Source organism: Homo sapiens, chromosome 3, assembly GCF_000001405.40.
Source record: "Homo sapiens chromosome 3, GRCh38.p14 Primary Assembly".
Classification (NCBI taxonomy): Eukaryota; Metazoa; Chordata; class Mammalia; order Primates; family Hominidae; genus Homo; species Homo sapiens.
Genome location: NC_000003.12, coordinates 37349224 through 37367093, shown reverse-complemented (window position 1 = coordinate 37367093; position 17870 = coordinate 37349224). Strand labels below are relative to the sequence as shown.

General features: G+C 36.8%; 1 protein-coding gene across 23 annotated transcripts in view; it reads right to left on the bottom strand.

Moving 5' to 3' along the window:
- The window catches only part of GOLGA4 (golgin A4), a 123609-nt gene continuing 105953 nt past the window's right edge, over positions 215-17870 (bottom strand). For 12 of the 23 annotated variants that reach the window (XM_047447981.1, XM_047447980.1, XM_024453457.2 and 9 more), the window contains 3 exons: positions 11907-11993; positions 5789-5851; positions 215-1014 (listed from right to left, as the gene is read on the bottom strand). In XM_047447981.1, the coding sequence (XP_047303937.1) occupies positions 5822-5851; positions 11907-11993 (117 nt within the window). In that variant the 3' untranslated portion in view covers positions 215-1014; positions 5789-5821. The remainder of the gene's footprint in view (positions 1015-5788; positions 5852-11906; positions 11994-17870) is intronic. The other 11 variants (NM_001429190.1, NM_001410721.2, NM_001172713.3 and 8 more) reach the window with 3 other exon arrangements.

The following is a 17870-nucleotide window of genomic DNA, read 5'->3' as shown; positions in this document are numbered from 1 at the left end:
TTCCTAGAATATGAAGGGTGTGTGAAGCCCTCTGAACAGTACCCATCTCTCAGTGTGCAGAAATTTCTCTTTCACCAAGTTAAAAAATAATTCAAGTATGGTCTATTCCAGAGAGAGGAGGCATTCCCAAGTTGTCAGAATCCTAAAGCAGACATCATGGAGTATTTATTTCCATGCTCCTTCTAACTTGGTCATACCAAATTTGAACGTGAAAATTCTTTTCAAATGCTCAGCATTTAGTTATATTGACAAATAATTCCTCACTAAATTCATCCAAATAGAATATGCATTCTTAAACATTTTAAAATAGATTTCAACTGAGGAACAAGTACAATAAACAAATGTTATATAGTAAATAAACTTTATTTATCTGTTTCTCAGAGATGACACTGCCAACAATCACAGATTTGCATACAATACAGTTATGTATTGGCTATTCACAATTTACAGTAGTGTTTTTTCCTCTGAAAAATATAAGTACAAAAGCTAAGTAAACAATGAGGTACTGCCATTTGGGATTTTTTACATGTCTTAGCTTAAAGAACTGGTCTTTAGCAAATATTCAACAGATCAACCTGAATAAAATAGTCAATTAAATGCTCTAATTTATCAGAAAAAATCCACTAAGTTTCACCTCAAAATGTATTGCACAAGTCTTTTTAAAAAATCACCCTAAAAATAAATAGGAAAGGTAAGCCGTTCTTTAAAAAGAATGGATGAAAGGAATATTATGTAAGCCCATAAAGCAGGTTAAGTTATCAAAATATCTTTTAAACAACATAAAACTCTTCCCAAGAGAAAACTGAAGAAAAAACTATCACCATTTCTCCACTGATAAAATCTATTTTAAAGGCAGTCTGCAACTTATCTGTGGGCCAGATTTTTCTTGGTCTTTTGGCTACATGAGGGGCCCTGAATGACAACTTCATTCTCAAAGAGTAGCAAGTGTGGACAGTTTTCCAAGCAGCAGTCACCCAATGTCACTCTTCTTCAAGATGAAGATCGGAGCCATGACTGGAAAAGAAAAAGGAAAAGAGAATAAAGAAAGGGGGCAAAAAAATCCAAAACATTTAGGTTGACTTTTTGGGATATTTGTTTTTTCAAGTTTGAAATAAAATTCTATTCCATGGTCTAGAGACTGCAGTAAAGAGGCAGAAATAAGGCTGGGTGTGGTAGCTCATGACTGTAATCCCAGCACTTTGAGAGGCCAAGATGGGAGAATCACTTGAGGCCAGGAGTTCGAGACCAGCCTGGTCAACACAGCAAGACCCCATTCTGAAAAAAAAAAAAAAAAGTAGAAATTGTCTAAACACTAAATCTTAAAGGTATCTTCTAAAAATTAACATTCTTGCAATGATGCAAACCAACCTATAGTCAGCAATCCTGGAAAATGGCATTTCTAAGTGAAATTTGGAACTGCAACCATTTACCATATATCGAATGCTACCAGTTTATACAGTAACCCAGGAGTAAACACGCTGACTTGGCTGAATCTCACAAATATTGGACTGGAATTAAAGATGACAGGCTGGACCCAGTGGCTCATGCCTATAATCCTAGCACTTTGGAAGGCCAAGGTGGAAAGATCACTTGAGGCCAGGAGTTTGAGACCAGCCTGGCCAACATGGCAAAACCCTGTCTCTACTAAAAATACAAAAAAATTAGCCGGCCGTGGTGGTGCTTGTAACCCCAGCTACTCGGGAGGCTGAGGCAGGAGAAATCACTTGAACTCAGGAGGCGGAGGTTGCAGTAAGCCGAGATCATGCCATCGCTCTCCAGCCTGGGCAACAGAGTGAGAGACTGCCTCAAAAAAACAATAAAAAATAAAGATGAGAAAGAGCTCTTTCCTCTTATCCAGTGTGCTGATTATTCTACAAATTGCAATTCTCCCAGCATGACATAATAGCAAAAGACAAACAGCATTTTGGTGTGGAAATTTATGTCTCATCTGGAATTAAGAAATTTAATTTAAAAATTAAAAACAGCCTGGGCAACATAGTGAGATCCCATTGCTACAAAAAATAGAAAAAATTAGACAGGCATGATGGTGTGTGTCTGTAGTCCCAGCTACTCAGGAGGTTGAGGCAGGAGGATCGCTTGAGCCTGGGAAGTCAAGGCTGCAGTGAGCTGACTGTACCACTGCACTCCAGGCTTGGCGACAGTGACACCTTGTCTCAAAAAATAAATTAATTAGAAATGCTGGCTGGGCATGGTGGCTTATGCCTATAATCCCAGCACTTTTGGGAGACCAGGGTCAGAGGACTGCTTGAGCCCAGGAGTTCAAGACCAGCCTGGGCAACATGGCAAGACCCTGTATCTACAAACTTTTTTTTAAAAAAAATAGCTAGGTGTGGTGGCATGTGTCTGTGGTCCCAGCTACTCAGAAGGCTGAGGCGGGAGGATTCCTTGAGCCCAGGAGGTCAAGGCTGCAGTGAACTGTGTTCACGCCACTGCACTCTAGGCTGGTGTGACCATGCTGGGGGGCAAAAAAAAAAAAAAAAGCTATGACATAGCCAAAGTCTTCCTCATAATGTTTCTCAAATGAAAATGCTGGCCAGGAGCAGTGGCTCACGCCTGTAATCCCAGCACTATGGGAGGCCAAGGCAGGTGGATCACCTGAGGTCAGGAGTTCGAGACCAGCCTGGCCAACATGGTGAAACCCGGTCTCTACTAAAAATACAAAAAATAAGCTGGGTGTGGTGGCGGGCACCTGTAACCCCAGCTACTCAGGAGGCTGAGGCAGGAGAATCACTTGAGCCTGGGAGGTGGAGGTTGCAGTGAGCCGAGATTGCGCCACTGCACTCTAGCCTGGGCAACAAGAGTGAAACTCCGTCTCAAATATAAAAAAAAGAAAAGGAAAAGAAAATGCTAAAACCAGTAGTCACATCAAGATATGAGTTTAAAATCCCATAAAAATAAATTACCAAGTAAGATTAATAGAGGCAAACTTTCCATATATATTAAGTGGATAGGGGGAGTTTTAGTCTTCTGAATTTGTAAATGAACAAATATTTCACTACTCATAATGTACTACTAATAGTATATTATTTATAAAACTAGTTCAATAATCATGTTGGTCCTAGGAACCTAAAGAAGACACCAACAAGATCTTCTGTTATACGTAAATTCCTTGTCAGTTTTTATTTTGAAACCGTAGCTTGATCTGTTGTGGGAAACAAAATTCAAGATCAGTTCAACAATGCTGCATCATTAAAAACAAAAAAGCTAGACGTTTTCTAGTTTAAAAAAGACTAGGAAAATATGACCACTAAATGCAATGTGAAATCTCAAGTGGATCCTGGATTCTAAAAAATTATGGGAGACATTATTTGGAAAACTGTAAAAAACTGAGTATTATGTACTATATATTAGTATTAGCTAATATTAAACTTCCTGAGTGTAATAACTGTACTGTATGTAGAAAAATGTCCTTGTTCTTAAAGATACATGCTAAAGTACTTAGTTTATGTTTACAATTGTCAAATGCTTGCAAGCATGTCGGCAAGTAATTGCCAAATGTTACAAATGGGGAATAATATAAATGGAGAGAGAACAAGAGTGACAGCAAGTCAGAAAATCTGGCCAAACATTACTAGGTGAAGGGTATATGGGTGTTCATTGTACTATTTTTGCAAATCTTATGTCTGAAATGTTTCAAACTAAAAGTTGAGGAGACAATCAATTAATCAATTAATAGAAATGCTGCACAATATACATTTCCAGTGATAATTGATATTCAGCTGCAATAATAACAAGTACAATGCAGTATTATTTTAAAAGGAAAACATTAAGACTTAATGGGTTAGCTATAGAATTTACAGTTTTTCAATGTTCACATTTATTATCAAAGTAACCTAATAAAACCATGCATTGTACTGCCAGCCATTGTAATGTGGATGACAAAAATAAGACAGTTCTGGATAATCGCTAAGGCAAATCAAATAATATATATTAAAATCAAAAGGAGGCTCAAATGAAGGCACAGAAGATTTTTAAAGATAAAAGCTTAGAGGGCCAGGCACAGTGGCTCACGCCTGTAATCCCAGCACTTTGGGAGGCCAAGGTGGGCAGATCATGAGGTCAGGAGATCGAGACTATCCTGAATAACACGGTGAAACCCTGTCTCTACTAAAAATACAAAAAATTAGCTGGGCATGGTGGCGGGTACCTGTAGTCCCAGCTACTCAGGAGGCTGAGGGAGGAGAATGGTGTGAACCCAGGAGGCGGGGCTTGCAGTGAGCCAAAAACACGCCACTGCACTCTAGCCTGGGTGACAGAGCGAGACTCCGTCTCAAAAAAAAAAAAAAAAAAAAGCTTAGAGGCTGAGGTAGGAAGATCGCTTGAGCCCAGGAGTTCGAGACCAGCCTATGCAAGACCATCACTACAAAATAAAATAAAATAAAAAAATAGGTGCCTTAGAGTCCCAGTTATTTGGGAGGCTGAGGTGGGAGGATCCCTTGAGCCCAGGAGCTGACACAGGAATGAACTATGATCACACTACTGCCCTCCAGCCAGGGTGATAAAGGCTTTACTTATTTTTTAAAAAAAAATAAATAAGGCCGGGCGCGGCTCACGCCTGTAATCCCAGCACTTTGGGAGGCCGAGGCGGGCGGATCACGAGGTCAGGAGATCGAGACCATCCTGGCTAAAACGGTGAAACCCCGTCTCTACTAAAAAAAAATACAAAAAATTAGCCGGGCGTAGTGGCGGGCGCCTGTAGTCCCAGCTACTTGGGAGGCTGAGGCAGGAGAATGGCGTGAACCCGGGAGGCGGAGCTTGCAGTGAGCCGAGATCCCGCCACTGCACTCCAGCCTGGGCGACAGAGCGAGACTCCGTCTCAAAAAAAAAAAAAATAATAAATAAATAAATAAATAAATAAATAAATAAATAAATAAAAGCTTAAAAGAACGGAGAAATGTTGTATCTTGCCATTTTAAACCTTGATACTATTATTAGCTGGATATTAACAATCACTGAGAGTATTTATTTTAATTATAGTGAAGCCCTACTAATTGTGATCTGTTTTTGATTTTGTGAAAATTCTAGCAAAGGCTGAGGTAAAGATGTATGGTACATTTTCAGAGGGTGCTAAATCAACCTAATAGCATGAAAAATACATAGAGATGAGGGGAGAGGGTTTAAATGATGAAGACAGTCAACTGCGTTGAAACATTTCATATGCCTGCATTTCACTGTAATATGTTAATCAGGAAGAATCACATTCAATTAAAGTAGGCTGCCTAACGGTCTCCTCAGGACAAATGTGTTGTCTTGTGTTAAACTGTCTGATTTCAGGAAGTAATGAAGCTATATTTTAAAATTGATCTTACTAGTTTTCATTATTTCTGACTGGCCTTGACTCAGGCTTTACAGGATTTTGAATTCTCACGGAATATACCACTTCATTTTTATCTAGAAAATGATTTTTCATTTCTCTCTCACAATCATAATTTCAAAGATCATTCTTGGAAAATTAAAAACAAAAGGGAAAATAAGTTACATAAATACTTTTTTGGATTCTTTAACAAAATTTCAAAGAGCAATTTTCAAACTTTCAATTACTCTTTAAAGAAATGAAATTTCCTAAAATTATATAACTCTTACTGGTGGTAGTAATTTTTAACTATTATCGATCCATATAACAGAATGAACAGAAAATACTTATATTAACCCATAGCATAATCATATATTTATTAAACAAGAGCAAAAGAATTCCAGCAAAATGGTTAGTATCAGGCAACACATTTGATTTTTGCACAAAAGACACAAGACATTGTTCTTCACTCACCACATGTTAACTAAGCACAGACTGATGGTTTACTCAGAAGATACCACTGCGAGGTGAAGTAAACTACAAAGCCAGGAAGAAAAAAAGCTTATTGGGTTAGTTTTAAGACTTAATATAACACATAGATTGTATGTGTATATGAAGTTCATAGGATTACAGACTGTACTTAAATTTTTCTCAAATCTCCCCAAATCAAGGGTGTACAGGCAAGGAATAAGGAATCTGTAATACCTCCCCCCATATCCTAGGTAAATATAATATTATGTAGCTGAGATTTTACTTGCAACTTTCATTTGAAGACTTAAACAACGTAATGAAAGGTGTACTGCATATTTTAAGTACATATTTACCAGCTGAATTACGGGGCAATTATTTGCTTTACAAAAGGATCTCTTTCATAATTCCATGAAAGTACACATTAAAATTTGATTTACATAATCTCAATTTACCCTAAAAAGTTTTCGGGAAAATGATGATGAATTTGAAGAGCCATGTGTCTATATGTTGAATTCTCATTCCTAATGTGTCAATTTGATCACTGAATAACTCTCTTGTAATTCAACAATGTATCAGAAATGGTTTCAGGAATGGTGACCCAAACTGAAATTTCAATTTAAGGAAACTCAATCTCAAATATAGTTTTTACTGTGACAAACCTTAAATAAATTCTATGCCCCATTTTAAGATGGTCATTGTCCAAAATCATTAATTACCTTCACGGTGATTTAAAATGGCAGCATTAAAAACAAAGATTGCTTATAAAATCTGAGTCTATTCTTGGATAGTGTGGCCAACCTCAGAAACATCATTTTATTTATCTTTCATATTTAAAGTTAGTAAAAAGCAGCAAAACCAAAAGACAAGCTAGAAAATAATATGTGCAACACACACAACACAATGAGGTTAATATCCTCTCTGGCAGAAGTATACAAAATCCATGTATATGGATGTTCCCTATGTCTATGCTTGTAAAGTACTGAAAATCTTGAAAACATAAGTAAATGGAATGAGGAGGAAACTGGTGAACTAAACTGTAGGACATCCATATAATCATACAATCAGCCATTGAAAAGAATGAGACCAATTTGTAATAAGGTGGAATAATATAAAAATATATTAAGTGAAAAAAGCAAGCCATTGCATACTCTCATTTTTATAAAATAAAATGAATGATAAAGGAGTAACTATAAATATGTAATTACATGGCTTAGAAAACATGGAGATATTCCCCAAACTGTTCACAGAGATGATACTGGCATAGCAGAAGTAGTCTGGAGGCTGAAGATCATGAGGGACTCCCTTTCTATGTTTCTGGCTTATAATATTTTTTCCAGTGATCACGTATTACCTTATTCTACCAACACCAGAATCAAAACCAATCTCAAGAAAACAAATATGTATTTGACATGTGCAATATTTTCTATAATGTGTCAGTTTTATTTGTATGTGTTTCCTGAACCCACCTTGCATGCATCTTCTGAGCCCATGCAGAGGGAAAGGGTAAACCTCGTGTGGGAATGGAAAACTTTTGTACCTAGCAATGCTGAAAAGTTCTGATTTTATTAATTCGGAGGAAATTTTGAAAATTCCAACAGGGGAAGAAAATGAGACGTTAAGAGAACACAAGACTGGTCCAGGGCAAGGACTGATGAAGAACTATATACACCACCAAGAATCAGTGTGAAAGCAAAGTTGAAGGAGAGTCAACAGAAGAGCAATTGAAAAAGATGACTAGAATGGACAGAGAACACAAACAAGCCAACCTTCTCCATCAAAGAGAAATTTTCTTTAATGGAGTCATCAAGAAAACAGTGATGTCCATTTATGTCATTACATTTTGCTAGCACTCTAAAGAGAAAAATGTCTAAGAAAACTTTTAAAGAGGGGTTTCCATATAACAAAGGAATCTCAATTCTGAGATGCTTGTTACCCAATTACAATAAACTTTCCTAATGAAATTATCTTAAATAATGTAATAATACTCTCATTTTAAAAAAAATCAGGGTGTACTTCTAGGGCAGTTTTATTCAATAAAAACACTAACAATTAGATGAGCCAAGAACTTATGTATTCACTCTTGCCCATATTGTGCTACTCGAATATCCAGTCTACTCTGGCCATCTAAGCTACCTAAACCATCATAAAATGAAGTAGCAAGGTATAGTAAACTAAAAATTGAGAGGAGGGAAAAAAAGCTGTTCTAGGAAAAACAGAGATATGTGCATTTGGTATGTGCATTTTGTTTTAACTTCTGCCTGCTGTTTAGAAGGCAATTCTTTTTCCTACTTGAAACAAATATAAAACAAGATTTTATACTTTGTGGGGAAAGAAACCTTAGAGATAGTATAATCCAACAATCTCATTTTACCAATGAGGGTCAAAAATATGAAAACAGTTTGCGCTAAGTTATACAGCAGTCAAACCATTGAGATCTAGGCTCTCATCCCAGCAATGTCGCATGTCGCTGGCACTCTAAGGTACCGAAGTTGGAGATGGGGGCATTTTGTGGGCTGGTATCACCGTGTGACTTGACCCTCCTACTGAGGTCTTTAATGGTTTTTCTTATACACATCAATGATTTACCTTTCCAGTCTCTTTTTCCAGAAAAGACTAGTTCTACACATTGCTAAAAGGAGGCTAAATAATTATCACCACCATCCCTACATTATCACTCAGCGCAGGCAACTGTACTCTGGTTCCTGGACAATCCTAACAAGATTATGTTAGTCTTGTGAAGAAAAGAGGCTCTGAGAATTGCCTGAGTTTCCACAGCAAGTCAACAAAGGACTAAGATTCCTTCCCTATACACCAAGACCCTCAAATAAACCAGACTGTAATTATGCTCTGTAATTTAACCTTACTTAACAGATAGTGATTTCTCATCTATAAAATCTACTCGAGACTAGGTTAAACTCTGAAAACAGTAATAACTTGTATCCTGTAATGAGGTTTTTTAAATAAAGAGTATAAAACTCACTGAAGAGAGAGAAGTATAGTAAAGATAAGATATATTGAAAAGTACCTCACCAGCAGTCATAGAAAGCTTTTGATTAGTGCTACAAAGTAAATGTATAATCATCATGGTCAAAAAGCAAAAATTTTAGAATGTATTCCTCTGATAATACCCAATAAATAATGTAAAAACTAACATGGGCTGCACGCTGTCAACACAAAGTACAATCCACACTCTTGCAAGCATCCCAAATACTAATTTGAAGAGGGGGCAGCTCGGCAAAATGTTTTAGGTTTGTTTTGGTTTTCTTATACCAGCTTTTCAGTCCTTAGGCAAAAATAACAAAACACTTAGGGTTGCTGATTTTAATAGAAGTGAAACCATAGCTGCACAGTTACAAAAACTTACAGAAAAGATCCATTTGAAGCATACATTTAAAATTAATGTGATTAAATCATTTAAAAATGATTATTTAATAAACTCCTAAAGTTTTGTTTTCTACACATTTCATCATGTGCACTTTCTATTGGAAAAAGAAAAATCATTTTCATACCTGTGTTTTGTTCTAGCGAGCTACAGCTCAATGGACAGGGATATGAAATTAGCTGAAATTTCTTCAAGAGACTTGTTCAAAGACAGTGATTCTTATTGCTCATTTTATGAATGATGGAAATCTCTGACAAAGGTAACTCTTGCTTCAACTTTCTTATACTCGTGAAACAATCATGAGTCACATTATCAAGTATCAAGAATCTCCTTAAATTGACAAAAGTTGACTCAAATTGATTAATTCATGTCATCTCATATCGTATTTTGGGGACTTCCTCATTTCATGTTCATCATAAAATTTCATATTTCCTAAGCACCATTTTTATTATTTGAATCATATTACTTAAGCATATCTTTTTATTCATGTATGAATGGATATTACCCCTTCCCCCTAAAATTAAAAGTTCCACAAGGTCAACAACCAATGTCTTCCATATCTTCTATTTTCCTATATTTCCCATAACAACTAGAAGAGTAGATGACTGTTGACTGAACTTATTCATTAAGCAAGAGATAATGATGGATGAGACTTTGCTTAAAGGAATAGTAGAAAAGTAGAACATTGTTTCTGGGCAGGTCAACCTCTGGGATAAAGGAAGATTCTTTCAGGAAGAATAAATCAGCTACCATTTCATCCCTACCTAGAATGAATACCACTGTATTCAGGAAGAAAACAGTCTGTTTTTCAAAGACTCTTTTTTTTTAAGTTAAACTTAACAAAAACAAACCTTTTTTGTCTGCTTTAAGAGTTTTATCGATTCACTACCTACATTTACCAATTCGATTTGTTTTTCATCAAAGCAAATCAACCAAAGACTACATGTGTATATGGAATGAAGGGGAATGTTTCCTACCACATTTGCTAGAGCAGCGACTTAGGATGAGCCTACACTATATAGCAAATCCTGAGAAAATGCAGTAGAAGTAAAGTTTGCCATATTCCAACATCAAGATGTTTATCAAGATGATAAAGCAGCTATGAAAGAATGAATAAAGATAACTAAATAAAAGCCCTTTTATATCATTTAAAATTATTTTCTTAAACTGGACCATAATGACAAAATTATGTCAACAGGCTCAAACTGCATTAGAAATTTTTATCTTCATAAAGATATTTTACTCAGTAAAGGAAAAATTTCTACTCATGAATACAAAATTTCATGCTTGTAGAATTAGATGTTCATTATAATTTAAAACAACATTCTCTCTGTTGATGAATGGTATACATTATAGTGACATATTTCTTTATCAAAAATATTTATAAGCAGAAATAACTAAAGCACTGCTTTTCAGGTTACTAAATGCCAGGGAGTGGCAGAGGAGGGATTTTTACAAAAAACAATTAAATGCTAACCAAAATAATAGCAAATGCCTCAGAAAATAGGCAATAAGTATATAATACAATACAATATACAATGAAGCATTGGGACAAAGGTCAGGGAATGCTAGGATGAGCTTAGAGGAGACCAAGAAGAAGTGGTCAGAATGTGCCTGAGATATTGGGGTCCCTTCAGGGCTGACCTTGTGCAGAGAGTCAGAGGAACTTCATAAAAGGCTGTAAGTGCAAGAGGTATTATTTAGCCGGGAGGAGGAAAACCCCTCCATCTAGGCCATCCCCAGATTTTTGGTTGAATTCTATGAGTTAGAACCAGAACAAATAGGTGATCATGTAGAGAAGGAGATGTGGGCTCAAGAGAATCAAGAACTTTTGTAAGAAAACAATCTGTTAGGATACGATGAGATACTTTGGGACTTACTGGCTTATGCTCTTTATTGGAGATGCTCAGACACACGCTAACCCACCATTAAGGAAAAGATGTTGGCTTGCTTTAGTGAGGAGAGAGAGAATAAAACCAGTGCTGGTATGATGAAATAGGTAAAGAGATTGGGAGGAGAAGGGTATTCACGGAGGGCTCTACAGGCTACTATCAAGACAAGGAAAAGAAGCAGAAAGAGAGAGCTGAAGGCAGGACCCAAATTTTTCAAGTTTCATACTCTGCCTAGAATGGATCTTATTAAATTACTGGCCCAGGGCAAAAATAACTTTGGCATGGAGAATTTTTTATAATTTACAAAGTGTGTGTTTCTTTCATTTTTCAATTACAGCTGACTTCACACTATGTTTTTAAAAATAATTCATTGTTTGTCTGATTGCCCCCATAAGGTATCAAAAGCTCAAGAATGCTTAAATTCTTTCACCCAGAATTAATGTATTTGGAAATCAACTGGAATGCAATAAAGAACTGTAATATATAAATCATCTAACATGATGATATAATTTGGTTTAAAAAATTATTACTGGATATACCAGAACAAATGTCTTTTCCATCCTTTCCATAAACAGCCCAAGTTCTGGAAATGTCATATAGCATACATACGGGTGTCAAGCTCTTATATGGTATTAAATTAGACTCTTCCTTCCCTTGAGGGCATCCATTCACATTTACCCTTGGTTAAATTTCTTAGTGTAAATTCACTCTCATTTTTCAGGCTGTGATATAATAAAGATTTGAAATCTTAAAATTTATTTTACCAACTCAAAAGTCCTTATAAATGAGACAGAATATAAACAGATGGGAAATCATCTTCTATCTAGAGCCCACTTCCAGAACTTACCATCAGCCGAGCATCTTCTCTTTCCAAAATTTTCTGAGTCTGATCATCAGGGAACTTCAGTACGGTGGTTATAACTTTTGCCATGGTCTACAAGAAAAACAAGAGATGATCACTAACAGACAGTGAAGCATATAAAGTCTCAACCCATTCTGACATGTTCTGCTGGTGGGATTCTTTAGTGCTCTCAATGAAAGCCACGAACAAAGAAGTATGATGTGAAGGTATTAGTCAAGGAAATAACAACACTAGAATTTCAATTTAAAAGGACTCCTTACAATGTCTACACATATTATTTTAACAAGATGCATTTACAATAGCATGAAGCTATATAAAATTCTAATGCTCTTGGCCCCTTTATTTAAATAAAACTTTATTACATATTCATTTTAAAAGGCTTATTTGCAGAAATCTATCTAGTAAGTGATGTATTGCCAAAACATATGTTCTAAATAATCAGATTTTAAATACCCCCCATGTTCAGCTTTAACTAAATCACATCATATATCTCATAAACACGGCTACTGCATGAACATGAACATGCTCAGTAGGTATTTTTCAAGACATGCAGCACATCAACCTAATAGAAATACAAATTACATTTTAAATAAACACAAGATGTTTTATTTGGTAGAAAACATGATGAATCGAAACATTACACATGGCTTGCAAAACAAGATCATAAATTGTGCACATCTAAATAAATATACCGTAAGTCAGACTGTCACCCATAAGCTCCTGGAAAATTCTCCTCAAAGGTTGAAACTCCCTATTTTGTATCAAGATGAGATGTTTTGAGGGAGACAGAGAGGAAAGAAGATACCACTTATGAAATAAGTAGGATAACAACTTCAGTGCTTACATACAAAATCAGGTGGTAGTATTCTAAAGATTCCTACCGTGGATGGGAGGGTAGCCCAGAAAACTGACTCTAACATTCCTTGATCATAGTTACATAGACTTTGCATATGGGGGAAGGGAGAAGAGTGGAAGTGATCTGGGGAAGGTCATTAAGGAAAAGATAATATAGTTAACCAAAAATTTTGGAGACTCACGTCATTAGGAAAAAAAGTATCACAATTATTTCCAGGAAGGAAAGGAACTAACTTTTTTAAAGCTCCTATTATATACACTAAGTCTAGGCAAGACACTTCACATATTTCCAATACTTATTTCTACTAACAGATAAACTAATACTGCTCCCCACTCACAAATCCCACACATGGCAAGACTTTAGTTTCAGACCTCTTCTTCCGTTTATCTTTCATCTTCTGCTATTTTGGTAGTAAAAAAAGTTCAGTCGGGCATGGTGGCTAACAACTGTAATCCCAACACTTTGGGAGACTGAGGTGGGAGGATCGCTTGAGTCCTAAAGTTTAGAGACTAGCCTGGGAAACATAGTGAGACCCCCATCTCTACAAAAAATTTTAAAAATTAGCCAGGATTATGGCTATTTTATTTATGGCCGTCTCTACAAAAAATCTTAAAAATTAGTCAGGTGTTATGGCTCATGTCTGTATTACAAGCTACTTGGGAGAGGTGGGAGAATTGCTTGAATCCAGGAATTTGAGGTTGCAGTGAACTACGATCGCACCGCTATCACTCAGGTGACAGAGTAAGACCCTGTTGTTAAAAATACAACAACAATAACATACATAAGACAACTCAGCTCTTGGAAAATTCCAAAGGCATTTTACAAAAACCCTCATCATTTAAACTGTACTGCCTAGACAGAACAGAATCTGTGTGTTAAACTGAAGTCTAGAAACCAAGTACAGGCAAACCTCATTCTATTGCGCTTCACTTTACTGAGCTTCACAGAAACTGTTTCTTGGTTTTTGGCTTTGTTTTTATTTTGCAGATTGAAGGTGTGTGGGAATTCTTTGTCAAGCAAGTCTATTGGTGCCATTTTTCTAACATGTGATCACTTTATATCTCTGTGTCACATTTTGATAATACTTGCAGTATTTCAAACCTTTTCATTATTATAATATCTGTTACTGTACTCTGTGACCTTTGATGTTATGATGGTCACTGTATTGGGGCACCACAAACCATGCCCATATAAGATAGTGGACTTAATCCAAAAATGTTGCTTGTGTTCTGCTGAGCCCCCATCTCTTTCCTTTTCCTTGGGATTCTCTATTCCCTGAGTCACAGTAATGTTGAAATTAGGCCAATTAATAACCCTACAATGGTCTGTAAGTATGCAAGTAAAAGGAAGACTCGCATGCCTCTCACTCTGAATCAAAAGATAGAAACAATTAAGTTTAGTGAGAAAGGCATTTTGACAGCCAAGAGAGACTGAAAGCTAGGCCTTGTATGCCAGTTAGCCAAGTTGTAAACGTAAAACAAGTTCTTGAAAGGAAATTAAAAGTGCTACTTCAGTGAACACACGAATCAGAATGAAATAGCCTTATTTCATTTAGTGGTCTGGATAGAAGTTTGGAGAAAGTTTTAGTGGTCTGAAGAACAAACCAGTAACAACATTCCCTTAGCCAAACCCTAATCCAGAGCAAGGCCCTAATTCCCTTCAATTCTATGAAGGCTGAGGGAAGTGACAAAGCCGTAGAAGAAAAGTTTAAAGCTAAAAGACCGGTTCATGAGATTTAAGGAGAGAAGACATCTCCATATCATAAAATTGCAAGGTAAAGCAGCGACATGATTTGGCTCTGTCCCCACCTCAAATCTCATCTTGAATTGTAGTTCCCACAATCCCCATGTGTTGTGGGAAGGACCCAATGGGAGGTAACTGAATCATGGGCGCAGTTACCCCCATGCTGCTGTTCTTGTGATAGTGAGTGAATTCTCATGAGATCTGATGGTTTTATAATGGGCTTTTCTCCCTTTTGCTGGGCACTTCTTTCTGCCATCATGTGAAGAAGGATGTGTTTACATCCCCTTCCACCATGATTATAAGTTTCCTGAGGCCTTCCTCATGTCATTAGTTCAGCCCTGCAGAACTGTGAGTCAATTAAACCTCTTGCCTTTATAAATTACCCATTCTCAGGTATGTCTTTATTAGCAGCCGTGAGAAGGGACTAATACAAGCAGTAAGTGCTGATGGAGAAGGTACAGCAAATTACCCAGAAGATCTAGCTAAGAAAACTGATGAAGATGTTTACACTAAACAACAGATTTTCTGTGTAGATGAAACAGCCTTCTATTTGAAGAAAATGCCACCTAGGACTTACATAGCTAGAGAGGAGAAGTTCAAAAGCTTCAAAGCTTTAATACATAGGCTGGCTCTCTTGTTAGAGGCTAGTGCAGCCTGTGACTCTCAGTTGAAGGCAATGCTCATTTACCATCCCAAAGATCCTAGGGCCCTTCAGAGTTATGCTAACTCTACTCTGCCTGTGCTCTAGAAATGAAACAAGGCCTGGATGATAGCACACCTGTTAACAGCATGGTTTTCTGAATATCTGAAGCCCACTGTTGAGACCTACTGCTCAGAAAAAAAGATTCCCTTCAAATATTACTGCTCATTGATAATACACCTGGTCACCCAGAAACTCTGATGGAGATAGCAAGATTAAATTGTTTTATGCCTAACACAACATCCATTTTGCAGTCCATGGATCAAGAAGTAATTCCAACTTTCAAGTTTTCTTATTTAAGGAATATATTTTATAAGGCTATAGTGGCCATAGGTAATGATTCCTCTCATGACAGTGGGCAAAGTGAAGAACTTCTGAAAAGGATTCCCTGTTCGAGATGCCACTAAGAACATTGGTAATTCATGGGAAGAGATCAAAATGTCAACATTAACAGGGGTTTGGAAGAAGATTCCAACTTTCATGGATGATTTGGAGGGATTCAAGACCTCAGTGGAGGAAGTAGCTGTAGATATAGTGCAGCTATCAAGAGAACCAGAATTAGAAGCAGAGCCTGAAGACATGACTGGATTGCTGCAATCTCATGATAAAACTTTAATGGATGAGGAGTTGCTTCGTATGGATGAACAAAGAAGTGGTTTCTTGAGATGGAATCTACTCCTGGTGAAGATGCTGTGAACATTGTTGAAATGACATCAAAGTATTTAGAATATTAAATAAACTTAGTTGATAAAGCCACAGCAGAGAACTGACTGCAATTTTGAGAGAACTGACCGCAATTTTGAAAGAAGTTCTATGGTGGGTAAAATACTATCAAACATGCTCATGAAAGGAAGTGTCAACTGATATGGCAAATGTCATTGCTGTCTTAGGAAAATGCCACAGACACCCCAACCTTCAGCAACCACCACTCTGATTAGTCAAGAGCCATCAACATAGAGGTAATATCCTCCACTAGCAAAAATATTATGACTTGCTGAAGGCTCAGATGAATGTTAGCATTTTTTTTTAGCAATAAAGTATTTTTAAATTAAGGTATATACTTTTTTGAGACAAAATGCCTATTGAACACTTAATAGGCTACAGTATAGTATAAATGTAACTTTATATGCACTGGGAAACCAAAATAATTTGTGTGATTTGCTTTATTGTGATATTCATTTATTGCAGTGGTCTAGAACTGAACCCGTAATACCTCCAAGGTATGCCTGTAAACATGTGGCATGAAATGGAAAGAGAAATATGAAGTAGTAACCATTTCAGTTTTTTCTTTTTAATAATAACCTGAAGCAGTTTCTGGTATACTATCTATAAAGGTTTTTTTATAAGTACCAAAAAATCTAAAATTCAGGGATTCAGAATTATAGGAAGCATTTCTCTAATATCAACACCACATAAAGCTCCAAGTACCAAAAAGTCCATTTATATTTACTAAGAAACAACATATACATGCATGCACAAGCATGTTTGGGGAAAAAATATAGCTGTGGCTAGTTGTCTCTTCGTGTTTCTAGACAACATTAAATGGTAAACCCACCTCTAAATTCATCAGTGAATCTGCAGCTCATTACCCAGTGAAGAGTTAAAGCTCATCCCTGGCTTGCCAGAAAACACTTTAATGGAGAAGCCCAGGCTCTTTGCCACACCTTGGAAAAGATATCAGACTGTCTACTCTACATACAATATCCTCAGGCCCTGGGAAGTAAGGAAAAGTTCAAATGAGCCACCTGATTTACAAGTGATCTCTCCTGCCAGGTATTCCTTAGGGAGAGGCATCTTCAATAAAGCTTAGGATGAGAAACACTTTATGTTGAAAAGGAGAACAGGCTGAATTTCAGGTTCAGCATTAGCATGGAGGATCAAAACCCAAGAAAAAGAAAGTATACGGACAGAAGGAAGGAAGGGAACTTACTTAACTCCATACTACAAGAACGTATGTACTATATATAGTCTTCTTTTAAAAAGTCATCTGCCTCATAAAATAAAGAACACTGTGTACAAAAGCAGACGAAGAAACACAGGTGAGAAGACATATGAATCCTGCTAGACAAGAAACAACTGCAGATGGTAATCAAATCACAAAGAGCACAACATACTCCGACTTATTCTAAAACCGCAACCTGGTCTCCATTTCAAATTCTTTGTTAATGTATAGAAATTGGGCAAACCCACAAAAGACATGTCTAAAAACAGCTCTGATCTTGTAAATCCCTACTTGAAAATTTTCAGGGCTACCCCCTCCCAATACCTACAGGTAAAACTCTGAAAACATTCAAGGCCCTGCATTCTCTGTGCAGCCTTAAGTTAAATTACTTCCCCTTCATCAATCCAGCGTTTTAGTTGGACCAGGCTACTTGTGATTTCAAAAACCCACACTATGTTTCCTGCCTGAAACCTGTCTGGGCTACCCCTCCACCATCTGGGCTTATCTATCAAAATCTAACATCTCCTCTTAAATCCCAGTATACACACCACCTCCTCCATGATGTTCTCCTTGATCTTCTCACAGGTAAATATGAGGACTCTGTTTCTGTCTTACAGCACTTACTGCATTCATCATCACATTATGGTTAATGAGAACAGTTCCCTTCCTTACTGCACAGTGAACGCCTTAAAGTTAGAGATGGTATCA